This window comes from Homo sapiens, chromosome 9, assembly GCF_000001405.40.
Source record: "Homo sapiens chromosome 9, GRCh38.p14 Primary Assembly".
NCBI classification, from domain to species: Eukaryota; Metazoa; Chordata; class Mammalia; order Primates; family Hominidae; genus Homo; species Homo sapiens.
Genome location: NC_000009.12, coordinates 84,405,147 through 84,426,960, shown reverse-complemented (window position 1 = coordinate 84,426,960; position 21,814 = coordinate 84,405,147). Strand labels below are relative to the sequence as shown.

The 21,814-nt window shown below is 43.5% G+C and overlaps 1 long non-coding RNA gene across 11 annotated transcripts in view; it reads right to left on the bottom strand.

Moving 5' to 3' along the window:
- The window catches only part of LOC102724036 (uncharacterized), a 247,231-nt gene extending 230,071 nt beyond the window's left edge, over positions 1 to 17,160 (bottom strand). For all 11 annotated transcript variants that reach the window (XR_007061623.1, XR_007061626.1, XR_007061624.1 and 8 more), the window contains exons 1-2: positions 17,121 to 17,160; positions 14,763 to 14,879 (exon numbers count right to left, since the gene is read on the bottom strand). This is a non-coding gene — a long non-coding RNA (uncharacterized LOC102724036). The remainder of the gene's footprint in view (positions 1 to 14,762; positions 14,880 to 17,120) is intronic.
- Between the last annotated feature and the right edge of the window lie 4,654 nt (positions 17,161 to 21,814).

Here is a 21,814-nt window from a genome sequence, read left to right as displayed (position 1 = left end):
TAAAGTTGAGCACATGCCTTCCCTATAAGTCAGCAATTCCACTACAAGGTATATCTCTAACAGAAATACATGTATGTATTCATGGAAAGAGATGTTTTCATAGCAGCACTACTGTTTTCCAGAGACAGGGTCTCACTATGTTGCCCAGGCTGGAGTGTAAGGGCTATTCACATGTGTGATTATGGCACACTATAGCCTCAAAATGCTGGGCTCAAGAGATCCTCTTGCCTCAACCTCCTGACTAGCTGGGACTACAGGTGCACAATGTCATGCCTGGCCCACGGCACTATTTTTATTAGGCAAGACCAGAAACTTCCAAAATATCCATCAATAATAGACGAACAAATAATACTCATATAATGAAATTCAATGCAGAAATGTGAATGAAGTACTGCTATAGGCAACAATATGGATGAATCTTATAAAAACTGTTGAGTAAAAGAAGCCAGTCATAAAAATAGTGTATTTCAATTTACATAAGATTAAAAACAGACAAAACTCATTAATGGTGTGAGAAGTCGGATTATGACTATTTTGGGGAAGAAGAAAGGGATAATGTTGGGGGCATTTGGGGGTACTCATGGAGATCTGTGTCTTTTTTTCTTTTTTTGAGACAGTCTCACTCTGTTGCCCAGGCTGGAGTGCAGTCGGACTATCTCAGCTTACTGCAACCTCCACCTCCCAAGTTCAAGCAATTCTCCTGTCTCAGCTTCCCGAGTAACTGGGATTACAGGCATAGACCACCACTCCCGGGTAATTTTTGTAATTTTAGTAGAGACGGGATTTTTACCATGTTGGCCAGGCTGGTCTTGAACTCCTGACCTCAAGTGACCAGCCTGCCTCAGATTCCCAAAGTGCTGGGATTACAGGCATGGGCCACCATGCCCAGCCAGATCTGTGTCTTTATCTGAGTGGTCATTACACAGTATTCACACTATGACCATTTATTGTGCTGTTTCACAGCTATAAAAAAAAAAAAACAAAAGATTTCCACTAAACAGTAATACTATCACATCATATTAGATCATTAATAACCGGCCAGGTGCAGTGGCTCACATCTGTAATCTCAGCATTTTGGGAGGCTGAGGCGGGTGGATCACTTGAGCCCAGGAGTTCAAGACCAGCCTGGCCAACATGGCAAGACCCCATCTCTACAAAAAATTAGCCATGTGTGGTGGCATCCACCTGTGATCCCAGCTACCAGGAAGGCCTAGGTAGGAGAATCGCTTGAGCCTGTGGAGTCAAGGCTGCAGTGAGCGGGAATCACACCACTGCCCTCCAGCCTGGGCAACACAGCAAGACCCTGTCTCAAAAAAAAAAAAATCACTAATAATCTTCAAATAACAAGGAGAAAAAGGAACTAACATTCTTAGGCACCAAATATGTTACCAGAGATGTGCTCTGTACCTTATACACGTTATCTTCAGTAATTCTCTCAGTAAATTTTCACAATAGCTATTAGTACTAAACCCATTTTATAAAAGCAGGATTTAAGACTCAGAGAACTTAAATAATTTGTCCTAGATTGCAAAGCTCTTAAATAGCAGAACTTAGGTTCAGATCTGGGATTGTTTTGCACCAAAAACCCAGAGTTGTTCCACCACACCCCACATAATTCCTTACATGGCCCTGGGCTATTAGTGCCTTTGACTTTTACCAATAAAACAACTTCATAAAACTTGCGCCCTCATAAATATCTCATATAAACTAAGTAGCCCAAGGTGATTTCTTAGGAATATTATTGCATTATGCTCTGTTGCCATTTACAACCCAGGAAATGTTCCAGAGCCTTTACTACTAAGACCCAAAAGCAGGGGTACAAGTTCCCTGATTGTCAAATAACATTTAATTGCCTATGTCAAATAACATTTAATTGCCTACGACAGCCAGAATACAACCAAACAACCTGCTAAGCAGCTCTTCTGCAAAGAGGCCTCTACCAAGGCCAAGTTACTCTTTTAAACCTTTTCTTACTCTAGCTGTTTTATTATTCATATACTTTTAATAGCATCTAAATGATTGTTGTATAGGCCTACTATAGCTTCAGTTAATGCTCAAGACATGACAAGTAGCTCCCTTTTAAATTTTTAACCAGAAAAAAAGTTTATGAAAAGCACATACGCTTCTGAAACAATACCACTCTGTATCCAAACAGAAATCCAGGCAGTTTTACAAGGCGGCCTGCAAGGTTTTACTAGGCCCCATCAGTATTTGACGCTCATTACAACTACAAAAACTGAAGCCTTGGTGACTATCTACAGCCAAGTAAGTGATGTTTTCTGACTTTAAAAGGCCATTTTCAGGCAGTATTATAAAAGAAGATGAAGAAAACACTGTCTTTTTCTCCTTTTAACTGGACAAGAAAACCACATGTGCAGTAGTTGGAGTGACACTAAATAGGACACTAAATGTCAACATTATGCAACTACTGAATACATCTACTTAAACTACCAAAGTTGATGCGCTTAGTTTAGAAAGAGCTAATGGCTTTTATTGAAGGGAAATGAGTTTTGTTAAATGTATCAACACTGCTAACACATTAATAATTGAACCATAAATCTTTCCCACTATTCCATTAGACATACTCTATCATACAGACAATGAGGAATTTAATGCTTCAGCTTTTACATGTAGGAACTAATAGCAGAATCCCTCCCAAATTAGATTGTTGGATTCCTGAAAAATCTTCCGGGTAGGACAATTCCTAGCTGTAGAACAGTAAGACCTTTTGAGAAAATCAAGATTGAGGGAATATGGTCCTGAGTGAATCTTTTATAAATATTTTTAAGTGTACTAATCTACAATGATAAAGCTAGCCAGCACATTGTAGTCAATAACATTTTTACATGTCTTGAATTAACAATAACGGCCTCTCTACAATTAATCTTCATTCCCTATCTCTTGGATCCATTGATATTTATTAAGTTCTCCTTTCTTCAAGTTTCAATAAGATTCACTGTGCTTGTTTGGAACAAGCACAGGCTAAGGCTAAGAGGCAGCTATAGGCTATAGGCTAAGAAAGTTTTTCCTGTCTTCAGTTTTCCAGCCCAGTACATTTTTACCATTCAGATTTTTTTTTTTTTTTTTTTGAGACAGTCTCACTCTGTCCGCCAGGCTGGAGTACAGTGGCAAGATAGCTCGCTGCAACCTCTGCCTCCCAGGTTCAAGCAATTCTCCTGCCTCAGCCTCCTGAGTAGCTGGGATTACAGGCATGTGCCACCACACCTGGCTAATTTTGTATTTTTAGTAGAGATAGGGTTTCACCATGTTGGCCAGGCTGGTCTCAAACTCCTGACCTCATGTGATCGGCCCACCTCAGCCTCCCAAAAACATTCAGATTTTACAGCTCAGAGCTGTGGCCATCCCAGTCCCCCAAAGAGCTACCTGCCTTGGTCTTAGAAATGCATGGATTTTTTTAATAGAAAACAATTAATTAATTTAATAGATTTAACAGATAACATTAATTGATTTATGCATCCAGATGAGTAGATTTTTTTTCATTTCTCTCCAGTCTCAGAAGTATCGGTCCAATGTCAATATACTCAATTCCCCTCCTGCCTCCTCACCATATCTTGATAGTCCACCTCAGGGATCAGACTCCCCTTTCCATTTCCTTCTGTCTCCTGCAAAAACTCTAGCTTTATCTGCTGTGATGCTCCCCCTAATGTGTAGCTTGGTGAGGCAGTAGTACCCAGTTATTCAATCAAACACTAACCTAGGTGTTGTCATAATTAATAGATTGTTTTGTAGATGTTAACCTCTGCAATCAGTTGACTTTAAGTAAAGATTACCCTCAATGATGTGGGTGGGCCTCATCTAATCAAGGAAGTCCTTAAGAGCAAAAAGTAAGGTTTCCCAGAAGAAGAAATTCTGCCTTAAGACTACAGCATGAATTTCTGCCTGAGCTTCTGACCTACTGGCCTGTCCTATAAATTTCAGGTTTTTTTTTTTTTTAGACAGAGTCTCACTTTGTCACCTAGGCTGGAGTGCAGTGATATTATCTTAGCTCACTGCAACCTCCGCCTCCCAGGTTTAAGCGATTCCTGCCTCAGCCTTCCGAGTAGCTGGGACTACAGGCGAGTGCCACCATGCCTGGCTAATTTTTTGTATTTTGGGTAAAGATGAGGTTTCACCATGTTGGCCAGGCTGGTCTTGAACTCCTGACCTCAAGTGATCCTCCTGCCTCAGCTTCCCAAGATGCTGGGATTACAGGAGTGAGTCACTGCGCCAGGCCGAAATTTCAGATTTTGAACTTGCCAGCCCCAAAAACTGCATGAGCCGAGGCCTGACTGATATACCAACCTTCCTACCTTCTCTATTCCTACTGCTGTTATTTATCTCAAAACAAAGAACTCATGAGAAGGGGAATCTCCCAGTTACTCCATAGTAAATTTTATATACCTGCTAATATTTCATGAAAGGGAAATTTTAAGTTGTGTAGATATTGCTATAATTTAACATCATTTCTTCCACTTTCAAGCTGGCTTACTATTTGAATAAATTGCCTCATTACTTGACTGGAAGCCAACATTGAGAAGACTTCATTCACTCAGTTGAGAAAAGGTGCCAATTCAACCAGAAACCTGTTTTCTCCCACCAGCATGAAACTGCTTTTGCAAAGATTAAGACAGTGAGAGAAGCCTAGCATGGCTTCCTCCATATTGCCTCTAGCCTCACAGGATGCCTGGCTTCTCATTCCTGGCTGTAAGTCAGGGAGGAATTTAGTTAATAGTTTAACTTTGAAGAAAGGATGATAATAGCCCCTCCCTAAAACTGATTCCTTCTGTGTTGGGGAGTGAAATTGTCCTTGTAAGACTAATGAAAAAACATAAGAAAATGTTTTTTGCTAAAATGTAGGCATAGTTTTGATAATTCCTTACTGCTCAGGAGTCATGTGGCCAGAGGTCACAAAATTTTTGACTTCCCCAGTTGCTCCTATAGATAACATCACTATTGTAGAACCTACGATTGGTCTTTTGAGATATTTTCAGACTGACCCAACCTGGATTCATGATTCATGACTCAACGGGTCCTGTGGTACCCACCCCCCAACCACCCCAAGGCAACCTCAGTGCACAAGGGCCATTTTCCACACCCCTATGATTGCATTCCCCAGCCAATCAGCAGCACCCATTCCCTAGTCCCATGCCCACCAAATCATCCCTGAAAAATCCTAACTTTCAATCCTTCAGGGAGACTGATTTGAGTGATAATGCCAGTTTTCCACATGGTCAACTTCAATGTCAATTAATCTCTTCTTTACTTCACTACCACAGTCTCAGTGAATTGGTTTTGTCTGTGCACCTGTCAGGACGAACCCATCAGATGATTACAAGAGTTGAGCACATCTGGGAAATTCAAATCAACTTCCTCAGTCCAAAGAACAGTGGGAACACACAGTCAGGCATGGGGATCACTTCCCACAAGAATGCCTATGTACCAAGCATATCTCCAGCTTGCCCTCAAAAATCTAGGTAACATATGGCTGTGCAAACAGAAGTTGTATTTTTCTAGCCTCTGAAGAAGAAAAAATTTATAGACTTTAGAAATCTAAACCCCTTCTAGGAAGTTAAAATATATCCTATAGGAATGAAAGAAAATATCTCAGAATTGTCATACTGCTTGTGATTCAAGAATTTTATCAAGTTTTCTATTTCTAAGAGTTATTTTCTTCAAAATGCATACAGCAGCTAATCTGAAGGGAAAGGACAATATAAAACTTTATCTTCAACAGAAAAATACCTACAAGTAATCATTATTACCATGTCATTTGGATGGGCGATTATTGATTTGAAAACCCACCAATAGGACTGTAAACTAGTTCAACCATTGTGGAAGTCAGTGTGGCGATTCCTCAGGGATTTAGAACTAGAAATACCATTTGACCCAGCCATCCCATTACTGGGTATATACCCAAAGGACTATAAATCATGCTGCTATAAAGACACATGCACACATATGTTTATTGCTGCACTATTCACAATAGCTAAGACTTGGAACCAACCCAAATGTCCAACCATGATAGACTGGATTAAGAAAATGTGGCACATATACACCATGGAATACTATGCAGCCATAAAAAATGAGTTCATGTCCTTTGTAGGGACATGGATGAAATTGGAAATCATCATTCTCAGTAAACTATCTCAAGGACAAAAGACCAAACACCCCATGTTCTCACTCATAGATGGGAATTGAACAATGAGAACACATGGACACAGGAAGGGGAACATCACACTCTGGGGACTGTTGTGGGGAGGGGGTAGGGCGGAGGGATAGCATTAGGAGATATGCCTAATGCTAAATGATGAGTTAATGGGTGCAGCACACCAGCATGGCACATGTATACATATGTAACTAACCTGCACGTTGTGCACATGTACCCTAAAACTTGAAGTATAATAATAATAAAATTAAAAAAAAAAAAAAAGAAAACCCACCAATAACAAATACGGTTAAGGAGACCACTCCACCCACCATGAAACTTGTCAGGACTTACAACCAGAAACTATCATTAGTACTCTTCATGAGAAGAGCCACCAGCCAACCCCAGTCAACCAAAGGATCCTTTGTAGAACTGGCCAGATCGAATACTGGTGCCACTGATCAATGAATAGTGAAAGGAAAATTTAAAATCCCTCCAGCCTCTTGTAAGAACGAAATATCACACAGAAACAGAGCAGAGGTGAAGGTCCCATAATCTTTCAGTCCCTGAGGAAAAGGGCATCCATACCAGTGACCACCCCTTTACCACTGCCTCACTCACATGCACACAAAACTTCAACACCATCTCACTTGAGACTCTTGACCTCTGCGGGGGCCCTTGATAGGTGAAGTTTCTTTGCCCAGTGCAGATGCACCCCTGATGGTAGGAAGAGGGCAGATGCTCAAACTGCCTCCTGTGACTATTGTGGATGCTACAGGAAAAGGAAGCCCAGGGCTCCAGCAGATGAAGTCTCAGGTCTCCTGCTGTATTTACCACCATCATTTGTCTTTGACTGGAAGAATCTCAATGAGGAGCAGCTTAAGAATCAAATGGGCTTGCACGGAGGATGAAGAAACTGCCATTTGGGAATTAAATGCAATTGGATTTTTGCAAAACCCTGAGCCTTCAGCAATACATGGAGAATGATTTATTGGAGTCATGACTATGAGTGAAACATTATGCTTGGTTATATAAACACAAATAAGCAAGCTCCCCAACCTCAGGGGGCTTATATTTGGCAGAGAAGGCTGACACATCCACAGCAAAAAGATGGTGGGGAAAATTTGCTTAATTGAGGAAAATGAGCCTGTAGAAACCCACAGGTGGAAACAATTTCAATAAGAAAAACTGAAATTAAATTTTGTTGGTTTCCCCCACAAACTCAAAAGGAAGGATAGGGGGCACTTGGAACTCAGGGAAGAAAAGAAATGGAAAGAAGTTACACAGAAGGGAGAATGAGCCCCTGCAATGTGGCAGCGGGCAGAGGCCCCAAGAAAAAGAGAAGACTGAGCCATGTGCCCCTCTGTTCTCAAGCCTTCAGTAAAAGTCTATAACACAGCAATCCTCTAGAGAGTGCTGTGGGACAGGAAGAAAAAAAAGGACTGGACTGGGTCAACGCTTGGGGCACACAAGACAGACAGGACCCTTTTTTGCCTCTGGGATGTGAAAATCTTAGAAAATGTATTTGGAGGATTGTGTTTGAATATTAAAGAAACAGAGACCAGAGGACTTGGCAACCTTTGTGTTTCACACATAGAAATGGTAAAGTAATAAATTTTAAAATGACAGTGGGAGTGCAAAGGAAGGAAATGGCTTTGACATTGTGTAACACTGAGCTAGGGAATGAACCAGGGTTCATGCTTTCTCTCATAGTCCTGTTGTGATTTCATGCTGGTCTCTCTGCTTAAAACACCTTCTTAGGGTTCACCCAAATGCCACCTCCTTCAAGGAAGTCTTTGTGACTCTTTCAGGCAGACATGGGTTAGATAGTTCAGGCTGCTATAACAAATTAAACATTAGAAATTTATTTCTCACCGTGGTGGGGGTCCCAGATCAGGGTGCTGGCATGCTCAGAATCTGAGGAGGGCCCTTTTCCTTGTTCACAGATGGTGCCTTCTCACTGTATCCTCACACAGTGAAAGGAACAAGCTAGCTCTCTGAGGTCTCTTTATAAGGAAACTTATCCCATGCATGAGGCCTCCACCCCCATGACCTAATCACCTCCCAATACTATCACATTGGAGGTTAGGGTTTCAACATATGCATTTTGGGGGGACATAAACATTCTGACCAAAGCAGCAATCCTCCCATACTGTCAGTCACTTACCTCAATTAATTCCATGATCCAACTGCCTAATAAATGCTCATTCCCTGAACAGCCTCCCCTCTAAACAGTAATCTAGACTCAAGAATAGGAGCTGTGTGTCTTTCTATCTGGGTCACCTCAATGCCAAGCACATTAACTAGCCCACAGCCAGTGCTGAATCAAAGTTTCTGTAAATGAGGAGTGGGCAGTAAATGGGAGAGAGGAATAGTTTAACTGCACTGTGAAAGATTATTCTGGTTTGATTAAACAGAGAAGAGATCAAAGACACTCTAAGAAAAGGAAGCACAGGAAAGAGGAACATAAAAGGAATGGTCTGGTTCAACATGGTGGCCGGAATGAATGCACGCATCTCTGTTCTCTTCTGAAATCCCACTGACTGCAAGGAATTTTTTAAAAACTGTGAATTCGGTCAGGTGCAGTGGCTCATGCCTGTAATCCTAGCACTTTGGGAGGCCGAGGTGGGTAGACTGACTGAGCTCAGGAGTTTCAGACCAGCCTGGGCAACATGGTGAAACCCCGTCTCTACTAAAATACAAAAAATTAGCTGTTCATGGAGGCGTGTACTTGTAAATCCCAGCCACTCGGGAGGCTGAGACAGGAGAATCACTTAAACCTTGGAGGCAGAGGTTGCAGTGAGCTGAGATCGTGCCACTGCACTCCAGCCTGGGCGACAGAGCAAGACTCCATCTCAAATAAATAAATAAATAAATAAATAAATAAATAAATAAATAAATAAAAGCACGGAATTCATAACACAAATAGGATTAGTATTGTCAACGTATCTCTGACTATGGAGCAGCTAGAGCCTAGATACTTCTACTCAATTACACCAGGGTGCTGCTGTCTCTCACCTTTGGCAGGAGATTAGAGAGTTGTTCCCTGCACAGATCCTGAACAAGAATCTCACACTCTAGGACACTCGACCCTCAATGCACATGCTATGTGCTCCTTTGCCATGCAATATATCAATTATGTGTACACCATGTACTTCCTGTACCCGATACCAGATCCTTCAGCAACTCCAGCCCAGATCCTGGCCACCCCCCCATGGAAAAGTCCAGCTGGGGGCTGATGACCACTAGAGCCCACCAGTTGGCAAATCCATCCATGCACCCAAGTTCACCCAGAAGTTTAATCATCTTTCTCGTGACCTACTATTAAATAAAATTTTTGAAAGCCTCACTTTATTCCCCCTTTTAATACAAATTTACTTACGCCATGCAGATGTCTAGTATTCATTTTAAAACATCACTTAAGGATGTTTTAGATTGTTTAAAGTTTAACCAGAGAAGACATCCAAAGCAAACAGGAGAAACCTGACCCAAAACCATTTACTGGGGCTCGAGCATCCCCAGAAAGAAGCACAGAACTAGAGTCCCAATTACAGCAACAGATGGTTTGGTTTGTAATAAAGAAATTCCTATAATCTGTAATTTTGTTTTTAAACCAGAGTTTCCTTTCTAAAGAAGCTTAGAAAACCTCTACAGAGACTATAAAAGGACTTCTGGGTAAAGATGAGAGGTTGACAATCTCCTAATTCTTACTAAAACAAATACTTTATTTTAAATCAAAAGAAAATGTTATCCAAATTCCAACCAAGGAAAAGTAATATAATTTCCTGCCCTAAATTTCAAAAGTGGCTGCAAATGAAAGAAACAGAAGATTCTCAAAAAACTTACGGAGTCTCTGGGGTCAGTTGGAAAATGCTCCTAGTTCTTTACTTCCTACTATGTCTAGGATTTTACATCCTTGTCCCTCGCCATGTGACGCTGCTGTACCTCCCACTGGAGTTAAGCTATTGATGCACGCAGAGGTTTTAAATGTGCTTGTGTGTTGGGACTCGGTCTTTCATGCTCCTGTGATCCCAGCAGGTCACAACTCCCTTCCATCCTGGGTTCCAGAACAGAGACATGGAGCATCCTGGAACCCATCTGAAGCCTGGGTCCAGCCTGGCCCTGCCAAGCCCAGCCTACACCCCACAGAGTGGAACTTACCTGCAGACTCCTGAGCAGGAAACTCAACTTGTGTTGTAAGCTGCTGAGAGTTTGCAGTTGTTTGTTCCATCGCAAAAACTATTACAGGTTCCTAACTTAATCCCCATCTTTTATATGCAATATAAAACTATTAAAGAAAAAAGGTCCATAGACAAAAGTCTCAAATTCTCACTTATACTTGATTTGTTTTTGTTGTTGTTGTTGTTTTGAGATGACGTTTTGCTCTTGTCGCCCAGGCTGGAGTTCAGTGGCACGATCTTGGCTGACTGCAACCTCCACCTCCTGGATTCAAGTGATTCTCCTGCCTCAGCCTGCCAAGTAGCTGGGATTACAAGCGCTTGCCCCCACACCCAGCTAATTTTTGTGTTTTTAGTAGAGATGGGGTTTCGCCATGTTGGCCAGGCTTGTCTCGAACTCCTGACCTCAGGCAATCCACCCGCCTCAGCCTCCCAAAGTGCTGGGATTACAGGCGTGAGCCACTGCACCCGGCCTAATTTGGAGAGAAGCAAATTGAGTGGAGGTGTAGCAGCCCAGGGGAGGGGAGGGAGGAAATCCTCAAGAGGAGAAGCATTGAGCTGCCACTATAAAATAGCAGGACCCCAGGAGAGGCAAGAACACCATCAGGGGTAAGTAGGGAAGCGTTACCCACTTGGGGTTTCTGTCCTTCTTGGGAATAGGACGCTCCTAGGCAGAGAGAATCCTGGCATAGGACAAGCCAAGGCCTCCAAGGGAGGCTTTACAGAACCTCAGCAGAGCTCTCCTCCACCCCCAGCCACACAACCCCACCCCCTTGTTATACACAAGCCACAAAAATACACAGAAAATAATATTCGGTCTTCAGACTGCAAGTCAGAGAGAAAGACAGATCTTAGAAAAGGCAGCAAATTCAAGAGAATTCATTTATACTATATTATACTCACCAAAAAATGGACAGAGTGGTTTATGCCAAGCGTGATCAAGATAAAAATAAATGGCACAGGGGCTAAGCCAGCATGAAAACACAAGAAAAAGAGATAGAGGGAAGGAGGGAGGGAGAGGCAGACAACATAATTGAAGAGAAAATAGGCTGGGTGCGATGGTTCACGCCTGAAGCTAGGCGGGAGGATCGCTTCAGCCCAGGAGTTCAAAACCAGCCAGGGCAACAACGGGAGACCACGTCTCAAAAATAAAAAAAAAATTAAAAAAAAAAGAAATTAATTTTAAAAAAGAAAAGAAAATATAACCAGAGGAAAAGAAGGCTAATTACCTGTAAGTGATTCCCACTACAAAAGAATTTAAAGAAAACATGAATTTTATAAAACAATAAAGTCAAAGTGAATAAGTAATGAAGGGAAATGAAAGGGAGGATGGTGAAACTAAGGAAACAGAGGGATCAAAACAGCATCATTATAGAAATAAGGAGTAGGAATTGTGAGGAGAAGACAGCAACCAAAATCAAAATTACCTACAACAAATAAAGGCTTGAGCCTATCACAGCAAAGGAAAGCAAAGCTATAAAAGCAATTGAGAGTATTATACAGGAACAAAGACAAAAATGGGTGTCCTTAAGATAAAGAACTTGATAAATGGAATAAGAAGATAGAACAAAATAGAAGATTCCCGTAACATGAAGGGAGAACTAAACGTGAAGAATAACACAAACTGGGCCAGGCGCAGTGGCTCACACCTGTAATCCCAGCACTCTGGGAGGCCAAGGCGGACAGATCACCCGAGGGCAGGAGTTTGAGACCAGCCTGGCCAACATGGGGAAACCCTGTCTCCTCTAAAAATACAAAAAAACAAGCAAAAAAAAAATTAGCTGGGCATGGTGGTGCATGCCTGCGATCCAAGCTACTTGGGAGGCCAAGGCAAAATAATTGCTTGAACCCAGGAAACAGAGGCTGCAGTGAGTGGAGATCAACAGAGCAAGACTCCGTCTAAAAAAAAAAAAAAAAAAAAAAAAAGAATAACATAAACTGATATAATGTGATTAATAATGTCACACGTTCTCAAGAAGAAATTAAATCCCAACGATGAAGAAAGGTTCCTTACCACATCCGGGAAGAAAAAGAAGGGACCCATAAGGGGTGAAAAAACCTGTACTCAGGCTTCCCCAAACAATACCCAGTGGTAAAAGGCAAAGAGGTTCTAAGAAAAGAGACGACCCCAATTCTAACATACACAGCCAAGTAATCCCGCCAGCATGAATTCAAAGATGGACCTTTCCTAAGAGAAAAGAACAGAAGAAACGCAGCAGCCACACATTATTGGGGAGATGGCAAAGTGGCTCCACAAAACCCAATCAGTCTAAAACTGAATGGAGACACTGTGATGTTAAATGATGTGACACTTGATAGAAAGTGTGGCCTGGGAATTGTACAACTAGACAAGTGCTCCTTATCTAGAATAAAGCTAAGAGGAAAATCCCAAAATAAAACACCCATAAATTGTTCTTGAAAAAGTTACTAGGTAATGAAATCCAGCTGATTAAGAGAGGAATCAATATTTGAAAACACACATACACACACGGAATGGGCCGGGCACCATTCCATCAGAATATAATACGCCTATAATACCAGCATTCTGGAAGGCTGAGGTGGGTAGATTGCTTGAGCCCAGGAGTTTGAGACCAGCCTAGCAACATGGTGAAACCCCTTCTCTACAAAAAATACAAAAATTAGCTCAGTGTGGTGGCACACGCCTGTGGTCCTTGCACCAGATGGAGGTGCAAGGATCACCTGAGCCCGGGGGGGCTGACGCTGCAATGAGCCGTGATTACACCACTGCACTCCAGTCTGGGAGACAGAGCGAGACTCTGTCTCAAACACACACACACACACAAAGGAATGCAGCCGGATGTGGAGGCTCACGCCTGTAACCCCAGCACTTTGGGGGGCCAAGGGCGGGTGGATCACTTGAAGTCAGGAGTTCAAGACCAGCTTGGCCAATACAGTGAAACCACGTCTCTACTAAAAATACAAAAATTAGCAGAGTGTGGAGTGCACCTGTAGTCCCAGCTGCTCGGGAAGCTGAGACAGGAGAATTACTTGAACCTGTGAGGTAGAGGTTGCAGTGAGCCAAGATCATGCCACTGCACTCCAAGCTGGGTGACAGAGTGAGACTCCATCTCAAATAAATAAATAAATAAATGGAGAAGCCTTGCTGTAACAATCGGTGTTGGGCATTTGCCTGTCTATTTAAACATCTAAGACCAAAGGACTCAAGTAACTCTGGTTACAGAAGAGAATGTAAATAGTCAGCCTTGACCATTTAAAAACAATCGCATGAGTAATGAGACTTCAGAGGAGGCATGAGAAATGAAAAGATGCATATTTCCTGATTTGTCACAGTACAAATTCAACTTCTGCATCCAAAATTGAAAACCAGAATTTTAACAAGCAAAACAATCCCTAATCTTTTCATCATCTCTTTTCTTCTTAATTTTATCAAAATATTTTAGGACCTATTATCACCAGTGGTAAAGAAATATGGGTCTGAATTTCAGCAGTTCCTGCAGTCTCATTTCAGTTCATTTTCTTCAGTTAAATTCCAGTAAAACTGAATTTAAAATATTTTTAAATATAGCTTCCATTTTTATAAAAGTGCTTCAGTCTCCTTCGTGGTTTATGAAAAAAAGTGCTTTCATTTATATAAAATTATTTCTCTATTTTTTTCTCTATGAGTATGTCCACAAAAACATGAGGAGAGAAAAAAGATTTAGAAATGATGAGCACCTAATATAAATGAGGGTAATTTTAGATCAGGGGTCTGCAAACTATAGCCTGCATACAAAAATCTAGCCCTAATAAAGTTTTATTGAAACACAGCCACGCCTATTTGTTTACATGTTGTCCATGATTGCTTTCACGCTACAGCTGCAGAGCTGAGTTGTGACAAGAGACCATCTGGCCTATTTTAGCAAAGACTAAAATATTAACAACCTTGGCCAGGTGTGGTGGCTCACCAAGGCGAGAGGATTGCTTGAGATCCAGAGTTCCAGACCATCCTGGGCTACGTGGAGAAACTCTGTCTCTACAAATAAATACAAAAAATTAGCTGGGCATGGTGGCATGCACCTGTGGTCCCAGCTATTTGCGAGGCTGAGGTGGGAGGATCGCTTGAGCCTGTGAGGTCGAGGCTGCAGTGAGCCGTGATCATGCCACTGCACTCCAGCCTGGGCCATAAAGTGAGACCCTGTCTCAAAACAAGTAAAAGTAAAAAAATATATATTTTATGACCTCTACATGTACAGCAAAACCTTGCAGAACCCTGCACAGAGATGGTGAAATTGGGAGTGGGGTGCTTGTTTTTTTTGTGTTTTACTTTCTTCTTGTTATATTTGCAGAACATTTTTCAGTAAGCATTATAATTTTTAACAATGAAGCCATTTTTGTATTTTAGAAAGATTACCCTCTACTCACATATCAAGGTACTAGTCTGCTATAGATAAGAAGTTAGGCCAAATGACCTAGCTCACCTAGGCTTCACTCCCTTCTAGAACAAGGCTCTTCCATCAGAGAAGTTCGTGTTCCTCTGAAGCCTCGAGACAGAGCGAACTGGCTGCTGTAGGAATCTGTGCAGGTTTGGCAGGTGCCTGTTGGAAGGAGCCAGTTATGTCACTGGTTTTGGCAAACAATTTGAGAACTCTCCAAATAAGACTATGGATCAGGGAAGGCAGAGGAAGAGGGGAAAAAAAAAAAAACTTTCTATTTAGCATTTGCCAGAATTACAACCTTCAGTAAATACCACATAACTCATTAAGAAATTCCTCACTTACTGAAACTAAAATGGAAGCGGCCCAAGAACCAGAAGAAAAGCAAAACGAAGCAGTCCCGCTCATGTGTTTCAAATCTATTTCTCAACTGCATGCTAATTTTTCTGTGCCCAAATAAAGGCCTGTTCTCAAGGACTCAAATTATGAAATGTTTCTGATTCTACACAATCCAAAGAATAGTCAGAGGCTATGAAATACCATCTGATCCACTTGTGAGAGACCCTGTCACACTGAAGACCCCGAGACAAAAGCAGCAACCACCCACCCGTGACCACCACTTTGAGCCTCTGCCCTTCGGCCTCTGGGCCTCCCCACTCCAAGGAGCTTTCCAGCAAAAAACCTCCCTGACTATTTAAGCCACCAAAGCAATCCCAGCATGGGATGAACGCCCACCCCTGCTCTGCCTATCACCTCACCAGGCATACATTAATTAATTATGGAGCATTCCAAGGGCACAGGGGCATCATTCTGCAGGATGAGCTATCAGCCCTTAGAAACCAGGAGAAAGATTAAGACCCATGAATTAAGAGTTTTCATGATTCAAGATGTTTTCTGTCTTGAAATAATTAATAATGTTGATTTTATTCCCTCATTGGGTAAATGTGCTTATTCCAAGAACAGTAAATCTCCGCAATTCCAATAGCAATCAGAATAAAAAGCGTTCCAACAGAAATTTTCTGCTTCCTTTCTGATTAGAAAGCAACTTTATTTTTTAGGGAAAGGCAAAATCTGTATTACAGATCATTTTTACTAAAAATGCTAACTAATCAACTCACTATACCTGAAAACAGAGAACTATGAAAAATTTTTCTTCAGGCCTCTTCAGGTTTCTTACACAATCAAAAGGTTTAAAACTCAGGTTTGATAGGTAACAATAATCAAATTATTATTTTTTAAGACAGAGTCTCACTCTGTTGCCCAGGATGGAGTGCAATCGCACAATCTTGGCTCACTGCAATCTCTGCCTCCCAGGTTCAAGCGATTCTCTGGCCTCAGTCTCTTGAGTAGCTGGGATTACAAGTGCGTGCCATCAGGCCCGGCTAATTTTTGTATTCTTACTAGAAACAGGGTTTTGCCATGTTAGCCAGGCTGTTCTCGAACTCCTGACCTCAGGTGATCTGCCTGCCTCAGCCTCCCAAACTGCTGGGATAACAGGTGTGAGCCACCACGCCCGGCTGTCTTTCTTTAAAAAAAATTTTTTTTTAACTGTCCTTCTGGTCTAAGTTAGTTGAACATTCAACACAAGTCGAAGTTGTCTATGAAAAATGCTTATAAATTCTTACGAATCAAAAAGAAGATATTTCTTCTGAAGATTTTTTTGCTCAAATATTGCTGTTCCTTCCTATTTCATTATCAGTCATCCAGATTTTCAGCAAAATCAAGGCTATTCTCCCAAATGCACGTAATATTGTTTTGCACTGCCTTACCACCCATCACAATCTCACAAAATCCCGTTTTCATTTATTGTATTTATTTTTTTAAGACAGGGTCTGGCACCGTCGCCCAGGCTGGAGTACAGTGGCACGATCTTGGCTCCCTATAGCCTCTGTCTCCCCAGCTCAAGTGCTCTTCCTGCCTCAGCTTCCCTGAGTAGCTGGAACTACAGGCATGTGTCATGGCGCCCAGCTAATATTTGTACTTTTAGTAGAGACAGGTTTTCACCATGTTGCCCAGGCTGGTCTCAAATTCCTGAGCACAGGCCATCCACTCACTTAGCCTCCCAAAATACTCGGATTACCGATGTGAACTACCTCAACCAGCTAAAAACTCTTCTAAAAAAAAAAAAGAAAACCACCACCCCGACCACATGGCAATTAGTTTTTTTTTTTGAGACGGAGTCTCCCTCTTGTCGCCCAGATTGGAGTGCAGTGGTGCAATCACGGCTCACTGCAACCTCTGACCCCCTGGTTCAAGCGATTCTCCTGCCTCAGCCTCTCCAGTAGCTGGAATTACAGGCCTGCACCCCAACCCCGGACTAATTTTTGGGTTTTTAGTAGAGACGAGGTTTAACCATGTTGGCCTGGCTGGTCTCGAATTCCTGACCTCAATTGATTCACCCACCTCAGTCTCCCACAGTGCTGAGATTGTGTCCGGAATTGGTTGGTGGGTTCTTGGTCTCACTGACTTCAAGAATGGAGACGCCGACCCTCGCGGTGAGTGTCACAGTTCTTAAAGGCAACGTGTCGAGTTTGTTCCTTCTGATGTTCGGATGTGTTCCGAGTTTCCTTCCTTCAGTGTGGGTTCGTGGTCTCGCTGGCTTCAGGAGTGAAGCTGCAGACCTTCGTGGTGAGTGTTAAAGCTCACAAAGGCAGCGTGGACCCAAAGAGTTAGTAGCAGCAAGATTTACTGCAAAGGGCAAAAGAACAAAACCCCCACCCTGTGAAACAGGACTCCAGCGAGTTGCCGCTGCGGGCTCGGGCAGCCTGCTTTTATTCTCTTATCTGGCCCCACCCACATCCTGCTGATTGGTCCATTTTACAGAGAACTGATTGGTCTGTTTTACAGAGAGCTGATTGGTCCCAAAGAGTTAGTAGCAGCAAGATTTACTGCAAAGGGCAAAAGAACAAAACTCCCACCCTGTCAAACAGGACTCCAGGAAGTTGCCGCTGCTGGCTCCGGCAGCCTGCATTTATTCTCTTATCCAGCCCCACCCACATCCTGCTGATTGGTCCATTTTACAGAGAGCCGATTGGTCTCTTTTACAGAGAGCTGATTGGTCCGTTTTGACAGGGTGCTGATTGGTGCATTTACAATCCCTTAGCTAGACATAAAGATTCTCCAAGTCCCCACCAGATCGGCTAGACACAGAGCACTAATTCGTGCATTTACAAACCTGGAGTTAGACACGGGGTGCGGATTGGTGCATTTACAAACCTTGAGCTAGACACAGAGTGCTGATTGGTGTATTCACAATCCCTTAGCTAGACGTAAAGGTTCTCCAAGTCCCCACTAGACTCAGGAGCCCAGCTGGCTTCACCCAGTGGGTCCTGCACGGGGCGGCAGGTGGAGCTGCCTGCCAGTCCTGTGCCTTGCACCCGCACTCCTCAGCCCTTGGGCGGTAGATGGGACTGGACGCCATGGAGCAGGGGGTGGCGCTCGTCAGGGAGACTCCGGCGGCACAGGAGCCCACGACGGGGGTGGGGGGAGGCTCAGGCATGGCGGGCTGCAGGTCCCGAGCCCGGCCCCGCGGGGAGGCAGCTAAGGCCCGGCGAGAAATCGAGAGCACCGCTGCTGGGACGGCCCTGCTGGGGGACCCTGCGCACCCTCCGCAGCTGCTGGCCCAGGTGCTAAGCCCCTCACTGCCGGAGCCGGCGGGCCGGCCGGCGGCTCTGAGTATGGGGCCCGCCAAGCCCACGCCCACTTGAAACTCTAGCTGGCCCGCAAGCGCCGCACACAGCCCGGGTTCCCGCCCATGCCTCTTCCTCCACACCTCCCCGCAAGCTGAGGGAGCCGGCTCCGGCCTCAGCCATCTCAGGAAGGGGCTCCCACAGTGCAGCGGCGGGCTGAAGGGCTCCTCAAGCGCCGCCAGAGTGGGCGCCCAGGCAGAGGAGGCGCCGAGAGGGAGCGAGGGCTGCCAGCAGGCTGTCACCTCTCAGGATTACAGGCTTAAGCCGCCACACCTGGCCGGCAAATAATCTTTGTAAAGAAAAAACAGAAAACTCTTAGACATATTTCTTTTTCTTTTTTTTAATTGAGACAGTCTCTGTTGCCCAGGTTGGAGTGCAGTGGTACAATCTCAGCTCACTACAACCTCCGCCCCCGGGTTCAAGGGATTCTCCTTCTTCAGCCTCCCCAGTAGCTGGAATTGCAGGTGCCCGCCACCATGCCCAGCTAATTTTTGTATTTTTAGTAGAGACAGGGTTTCACCATGTTGGCCAGACTAGTCTTGAACTCCTGACCTCAGGTGATCTGCCTGCCTCAGCTTCCCAAAGTGCTGGGATGGGATTACAAGCATGAGCCACTACGCCCGGCCCCCAGTTCCTTTTTTGCCCTTCCATCTGGTACTATGTGAGGACATAGCAAGGAGGCACAGCATGAAGAATGGGATCTCGGCAGACACCGAATCTGCCATTGCCTTGATCTTGGCCTTCCCAGCTTATAGAACTGTGAGAAAATAAATTTCTGTTTTTTATAAATTACCCAGTCTTGGGTATTTTGTTATAGCAGAACAAATGAACAAAGACATACACTGAACATTTTGAATGATATGTTGTAGAGACTCTTGATTTTGTTTTTCTCTAAAAACTGTGATTTTTTTCTGATAAGCAGTTAAATTACTAACATGTCATATTGATCCTGTCAAGCCTTGGGATTTGGCTTTCTTAAGGCAGGTCTATTTCATCTTTGCTCTCAGCCCTACAGCATGTCCCTTATTCCTAGGACATAGTGATTTCCCCTAAGGTGAGTGTTGTTTTGGGTCTCAAATGTTCCGCTCTACTTTAGTTGAATCAGAACTCCAACATCTCCCTAACAGATCAAACTTCTAAAATCACTGTTTACCTCTCAGTCCCCTAGAAGCTGTTCTCAGCTAGACTTTGCAGAGTCTGAGTCAATAAATATGCAACTAAAGATCTTGCCAAGGACCTGAAGGAAGCTCCTATACAGATTTCTGATTGTTTCTCTTCAATTGCCTTCTCTCTGGTATCAGACCTGCAAGTTCAAGCAGTCTTAGCTACCCTCACTTTCTGTCTTCATTTTCTCCACCAGGCAAGACTTCAACTATCTGGTTGGGCTCCATTTCCCTACAGTTTGGAAAATGTCTCAAGCAAAAAGTCAGTATTGGTTAGGCATGGTGGCTCATGCCTGTAATCCCAGCACTTTGAGAGGCTGAGGCAACATGGTGAGATCCCATCGCTACAAAAAAGAAAAATTAGTGGGGCATGGTGGCTCATGTCTGCAGTCTCAGCTACTCAGGAGGCTGAGGTAGGAGGATCACTTAAGTCCAGGAAGTCGAGGCTTCAGTGAGCCATGATCGCACCACTGCAAGACAGACTGGGTGACAGAGCAAGACCCTGTCTCAAAAAAACAAAATACAGGCTGGGCATGGCGGCTCATGTCTGTAATCCCAGCACTTTGGGAGGCGAAGGTGGTTGGATCACCCGAGGTCAAGACTTCAAGACCACCCTGACCAACCATGGTCAACATGGTGAAGTCTCATCTCTACTAAAAATTAGCTGGGCGTGGTGATGTGCACCTGTAATCCCAGCTACTCGGGAGGCTGAGGCAGGAGAATCGCTTGAAACTGGGAAGCAAAGGTTGCAGTGAGCTGAGATCACACCATTGCACTCCAGCCTGGGAACAGAAGGAGACTCCATCTCAAAAAAAAAAAAAAAAAAAAAAGGCAGCATGAAAATGGACCTCACTTTGTGTGCTGTCTTTCAAGAATTGCAGTCCTGTGATGTCTACTGTCCAATGCCTAACAATACATGTTCATATATTTTGCCCAGCTTTATAATGCTAATAGCATAAAAATAAACCTGTTGCTCTGTCTTGACAAAGATTGAAAGTACTTTATAGGGCCAGGCCCATTGGCTCACGCCTGTAATCCCAGCACTTTGGGAGGACGAGGAGGGCGGATCGCCTGAGATTGGAAGTTCGAGACCATCCTGACCAACATGGAGAAACCCCATCTCTACTAAAAATACAAAATTAGCCAGGCATGGTGGCACACACCTGTAATCCCAGCTACTCAGGAGGCTGAGGCAGGAGAATCGCTTGAACCCAGGAGGCAGAGGTTGCGGTGAGCCAAGATCGCACCATTGCACTCCAGCCTGGGCAACAGAGTGAAACTCTGCCAAAAAAAAAAAAAAAAAAAAAAGAAAGAAACAAAGAAAGAAAAGAAAGAGCTTTGTATTTTAACACTTCAGTAATTTTCACTTTTCTAGAATAACAAAGACCTCTAACGCAAAAGTCATCAAACACCAGTTTAAAATAAGTTCTAAATTGGGAATGAGAAGACCAGGTTACTCCATGAGTTCTTTTACTGCCTAGTTGTCATTTAAGCTCCCTGATCCTCAGTATTCAACTCTGTAAAAACAACAAGCTGAGCTACACGATCACTGATGTCTCTTTTAGCTCTAGTGTAATACAATTCTTCTATTCCCATTACGTACATTAGATTAATGGGTTGTACTACTTCAGGAATCAAATCAGCGGTTCCTCATTAAGGCAAATGTTTTTTTTGTTTTTTGTTTTGTTTTGTTTTGTTTTGTTTTTTAGAGACAGTCTCACTCTGTCACCCAGGCTGGTGTGCAGTGGCATGATCTCAACTCAATGCAACCTCCACCTCCCAGGCTCAAGCAATTCTATGCTTCTCCCAAGTAGATGGGACTACAGGTGTGCACTGCCACACCCAGGTAATTTTTGTATTTTTAGTAGAGATGGGGTTTCACCAAGTTATCCAGGCTGGTCTCGAACTCTTGAGAACTCTCGAACTCTCAAACTCTGGCCTCAAGTGACCCAACCGCCTCAGCCTCCCAAAGTGCTGGGATTCAAAGCCTGAGCCATCATGCCTGGCCAGGCAAGTCGTTTCTAAAGTTCTCAGTTCCAACAGCCTATTGAGAAACTGTTGAGCCTCCAAGCTCTCTGGAAGTCCTCTCTGATGCTTGAACAATGGTGCATGGAGGTACAGGTTGGTACAGAGGGTGAGAGCCTGTGAGCAAGATAGAGGAGCATGGGTGGTGGACTAAGTAAGACTTCAAAGCCCAAGTAACCCAGCTTCCAAACTCACAATGAGTTCCTATCACTTCTGAATC